This window comes from Homo sapiens, chromosome 20 (genome assembly GCF_000001405.40).
Source record: "Homo sapiens chromosome 20, GRCh38.p14 Primary Assembly".
In the NCBI taxonomy this organism is placed as follows: Eukaryota; Metazoa; Chordata; class Mammalia; order Primates; family Hominidae; genus Homo; species Homo sapiens.
This window is the reverse complement of record NC_000020.11, coordinates 9,499,487-9,505,179: the sequence shown is the minus strand read 5'-3', so window position 1 is coordinate 9,505,179 and position 5,693 is coordinate 9,499,487.

The following is a 5,693-nucleotide window of genomic DNA, read 5'->3' as shown; positions in this document are numbered from 1 at the left end:
AAATCCCCCAATCTCTCATTTTCAACTAAATGGTAGAAGGGCTTGATTACTTATTTATCTCACCCTACGACCCAAAACCCTCGCCAAGCCAAGCAGCCCTCTTCCAGAGCACAACAGCTCGCTTTGCTTCAATATTCTTGTCTAGTTTTGAACATTTTTGGCACAAAATCCTATATTTTAAATTGCTTTGCAATTCAGTAAACCTGACCCTCTTGCAAAGGTTAATTTTGCCAAGTCCAGTAATCCCATTCCAGGTCCATCAGTTTCAGAAGCACTAGTATGAAGGGTGTGCTCAGCTCTGATCCCACCCAGAGATGCTGATTCTGTAGGTTTGAGGTGTGGTGGTGTATTTGTGTATCTAACAAGTTCCTAAGTAGTACTGATGCTTCAAGTCAGAGGGGACGACACCTTGAGAACCAGAGTGTGAAATGAATGGTTGACTCAGAGCATCTCAGGAATCTCAATGGCAACACTGTCCCTTAGAAATGCAATGCGAAACACACACATAATTTAACATAATTTAAAATATCCTGTAGGTACATTTTAAAAAGTAAAAAAAGAAACAGGTAAAATTAATTTTAATAATGTATTTTAATTAACCAAATATATCCAAAATATTTTTCTCAACATCTAATCAAGAACAAATATGCAGTGAGGGTTAACTGAAAAATCACAAGATCTATACATTTCGAAAAGGAGACTTTATTTCTTGTAAAAGTTTACAGCCTGCCAAGTGGCCATCCTACCAGCTGGGAAGTGTAGCTTCCAGCAAAGACCAGAAATAGGCACTTTGAGGGAGAGAGGAATTAGACAGAAATTTTAGTTGAACAGGTTGGCCAAACATACATAGTCAACAGGTTATACGAAGAGCTTCAAATACTCATGAAGGTGGTCCTGAGGCATGTGTACTGAACAAACATGCAGGTAACATATAACCATGTGTGCTTTGGGGTGGAGAATTAACATTTACATGTATTACAATTAGGCCCTACACCTCCTTTTTAGGACACAAAGGCAACCAAGTACACAGCCTCTGTAAACCGGCCAGAATCAGTCCATGGCTGTGGTTTTCTCATCAGGAGGAAGTTAACTGAAATCAGCCTCTTGTCCAATCAAAGCTGTAGTTATGGCTGTTGGAACAGGGGGGCGCCGTTAGTCAGCGGCTGGTGGTGAGCTGCAAATTGTTTTAATATTGCTTCTCTTGAGGCCAGTGCTTGTTTAGCTGCAAGGAGAAAAGGAAAAAACCTTGGCAATTAGAACCTGGTTTATTCTTTAAGTGTGTTGGGGGGGCGGGGGGTGGTGCATGATAACTCTTGCCTGGCATGGGAAGTCCTGTTTGTAATTTGGTGTTTTCTTACCACAAAGAGTCCATTCTGTCAGTCTTATGACCTCTATTTTAACATTAATTATGGTCAGTTATTGTGCCTAAACCACAAAAGGGAAGGGAAATAAGAAGGCGTATCTGACCTCTTGTCCCAACGTGGCCGGGAACTTAGTTTTTAAGGTTTCTCTGCAGTCGGTCTTAGCCAAGAGGGTGTCCATTCAGTTGGTGGAGGAGGGCTTAGGACTTTTAGTTTACATGAGCTATTTTACATTTTTTATTAAGTCTTTGAAGTCTGGTGTTTCTAATATGGAATAGCTATATTTCAAATGCTCAAGTGCCACAAGTGTCTGGAGGCTTCTGTATTAGACAGTGCAGGTCTCAACAATTACTTCAACTAGAACAAAAAGTAGAATTGAGTTTCACTGTTCCCTTGCAAATTTCCAGAAGCGTGCGTAAACCAGAATGTCCAAATAATTTTGCCTTTCTATGGTGTACTAGTCTGCTTGGGTTGCCATAACAAAATGTCATAGACTGGGTGGCTTAAACAACAGAGATTTCTTTCTCATCGTTCTGTTCTGGAGGCTGGAAGTCCAAGCTCAGGGTACCAGCATGGTCAGGTTCTGCTGAGGGTTCTCTTCCTGGATTGCTGAATAAGCCACATGTTGCCTTCTGTATATGTCCTCACATGGCCCCACCCTTGTGACATCATCTAAACCTAATTATCTCCCCAAAACCCAATCTTCAAGTACTCATCACTTTGGGGATTAGGGTTTCAACATATTAATTTTGAGGGGACACAATTCAGTCCATAGCATATGAAGCTGGGTGTATGAGAAAAGTGAGGACAGGACAAAAGAGGCAGGAGTATGTCAGTCATTCAGGAGCTATGAGGCAGGGGCCATTCCATTACTGGTGTGATGACCAATCAAGTTCATGTTTTGATAGGAGATTTAGTAGACATCTGTTTTGCTCTTGCCCCACCGCAGGTATGTACTACTACTTCCTTTACCCATACTCTATTTCTCTCAAAGGAAATACTATCCCCAACTCTCATTGCATAGAATTCTGGCGATGTTGAATCTGCACTGATTACTGGTATAGGGATCAATATCTGACCTTATGAGGAAGGATAAAGCATTTCTCAGAGCTTGTGGGAAAGATATTCTTGTTCTTCTCAGGACTTGGCTAAGAGGATGTAAGGTCTGGAGCTGCCAGAAGGTGACAACTTAAGCTTCCACCATGAGGAAACAGAGTTTCCAGTAACATAGAGAAAATCAGTACTAAGAGAGAGAAATCAGGGCCACAGGACTTTGATTACTTGACTCAGCTGCACTTAAAGCCAGCTGGGAATCAGCTCACCTTCCACATCTTTTAAAAGATGATGGAGGAGGCCAGGTGCGGTGGCTCATGCCTGTAATCCCAGCACTTTGGAAGGCCAAGGCAGGCAGATCAGGAGGTTAGGAGTTCAAGACCAGCCTGGCCAACATAGTGAAACCTAGTCTCTACTAAAAATACAAAAAATTAGCCAGGCATGGTGGTGGACGCCTGTAATCCCAGTTACTCAGAAGGCTGAGGCAGGAGAATTGCTTGAATCTGGGAGAGGCTGCAGTGAGCAGAGATCATGCCACTGCACTCCAGCCTGGACGACAGTGAGAAACTCCATCTCAAAAAGAACAAAAAAAATGAGGGCGGAAATCCATGTTACAGGTTTGTAAGTGTCACAAGTTGGAACAGAGTAGCAAGTTGCATTTGCTGGGCATCTTGTCCTAGCATTCAAGTGCTTTGATGCATTATTATTTAAAAAATGACATTAGTAGCAGAATATGTAACCTTTAGGCCATGTTTTATGTCCCATTTCTTAAGAATGTCCGACGTGTGACCTGGAATCTAAAGTACCTTGGCAATTGGAGATTTGATAAAATATCAAGATCAGAAACCATATGGTAGATGTACTTCTCACAGACAAATAGTCCAACCCAATTACTGCTAAAAGACTGCTCATTACTTCCCTCCAAGAGAATGAAATTTGAAATAGGGTTTGACAGGAGTATAAATAAACACAGATATTACTCCTTCTTATGTGGCTACAATAATACATTTCATACACCTGTGACTGTACCTTTATAGCTTTATATTGTGGTTATTTTTCTGTGCTTCCTGCTAGTTGAGAACTCCTTGAGGGCAAGGACCATATTTATCTGTATCCCCAACACCTGTCATAAAGCCTGCAACACCACAGACGGAAAACAGTATTTCCTGAATTTACACTTCTCTATCACATTGCTTTGTTATTTCCAGGAGTCAGTAATGCCAGCATGGGCATGAAGTGGAAATACATTGTAATCATTATGTTCTAAAAGTATCCCTACGTTACCAAAGGCTGAGGTCTGTTGCAGAAACACTTATGGGTATTTATCAGACACTGTTCTAAGCTCTGTTATAAACAGATCAACAAGACACACACCATTTTTCTTGCCCTTGGACCTTTGTCCTCATTGTTCCTTCTACCTTGAATGCTCTTCCCACATCCTTACTCTCCTCCATATCCCTAGGACTCCTCACTTGCCTTACTCAGGTATGTCTTCAAATGGGACCCTCTCAGTGAAGCCTTTCTTGGACATCCTGTTTCAAATGATACCCTCTCTCCACCCATCCTTCGTCCAGGCTTTGTTTTTCTCCTTATAACGTATCACTTTCTTAACAGCTTGCATTTCATCAAATTTAAGGTTCCACATTATTGTAAACCACACCATTATTTTATGTACTATTACAAAAGCAAAACACGCTGCCAGTTAAACCATGGCATGCCATCGATCAGGACACATTCAGAGTTAGAACTAATGAAACACATTCATTTACATTATTAGTTGTCTGGTCCTTTTTATTAGAATAAAGATCTCAATCTTTTTTTAAAAAAAGTTCTTATTCTCCAGTGCCTTAAAACATAATAGGCATTTCAAATGTTAAATGTGGGAGGATAAAATCCATGTCTTCAGGAGTGAGATCAAGTAAACAGTTATGAAACAATATAATAAATACTCAAGTAGAAGACGGTAGGAATTTTTCTCTGCATGCAGAGAAGAGCGTGTCTCCCTCAGCCTGGCTGGGAAGAGCCTCTCAGGGGAGGTGTTGACCAAGCTGGTCTAGAAGTGTGTGGGAGGCAGATCCACTGCAGGGGAGGATTTTCAAGCATCAAAGTCCAGGGATACAAAAGAGTATGAAAAACCAGGAAAACTGGAGGCTATTCTGTCTGACCGAAATGTGTGTTGTGTCTAAAGCAGTGATTCTTAACCTTGAACAAGTATCAGAATTGCCTGCAGGGCTTGTTGAAGCACATTGTTGGGCTCCTTCCCCAGAGATTCTGATTCCATAGGACTGTAGTGCAGCAAGAGAACTTGCATTTCTAATAGGTTCCCAGGTGACTCTGATACTGCAGGTCCAAGGACCACACTTTAGGAACTGCTGGCCTGGGGGAAGGCTGGAGGAGGGAATCAGTCATCTCAGCTCGAGTGCTGCTGTACACTCAGCCTTGGTGCATATGCTCAGATGAGGCATAGAGACCACGAGGGAAGGAGGGCAGTAAAGGGCTTTTCACTTCCTCATTATCATGTGCAATAAATAGAGTGCAGGAATTTTTTCTATAGCTTTCTAAGTCTGGGGAAAGCAAACACTTTTCCTTGTGTCCAAGATGTCCCCTTGTTTTTTAAGACTGAAAGAGAACAAATACACTAACTTTTGTCTACACCAGACTCCTTTAAAGAGCAATGTCTCCATTGTATCCCAACTCTTAGATTACTGTTTCCATGAGGAAACTGAGGCCTGGAAGATTAAGTGCTGGGATACAACTCCCCTACTCCCAGCTTTTATATCCCCATTAGTAAAAGGGAAAATAGGGCCTAGAACTCACTGTGCTGCTGCCAAGACTCTCCCTGCCCCTGTCTGCTCCTCAGCATCCACAGTGTCACTACCACCATCTGGAAACTATCCAGACTATTCTCCTGTGTCCTTTATCCCTACCCTGTCAGGGACCTCCATGAGCCCAGGCCCTCAGCTCCTCCTTATACAGCTCTGAAACCCCCCATAAGAATGTCATCTCCCACCCCACTTATCTTCTGGAACTCATGAACAGTCATCAGCAAAATTCCTGAAATCTGCAACTTCTTCTCTGCAAATACCCCTCCCTTGCTTGCTCTAACTCAGATCAGGATATTCTATGAAGGGACACTGCTTTCCGTGCAGCCCTTTCAAGAGGGAGCTGTAAACTCCCAAACTTTAGTGCCACTGTGTCTGAAGGGTGTGTGTCTCCTTTAATCTTCATTGTTGTTCTCCCAGACTACTGTCTTATTTTTCCCCCCAAGACAGCCCCTTC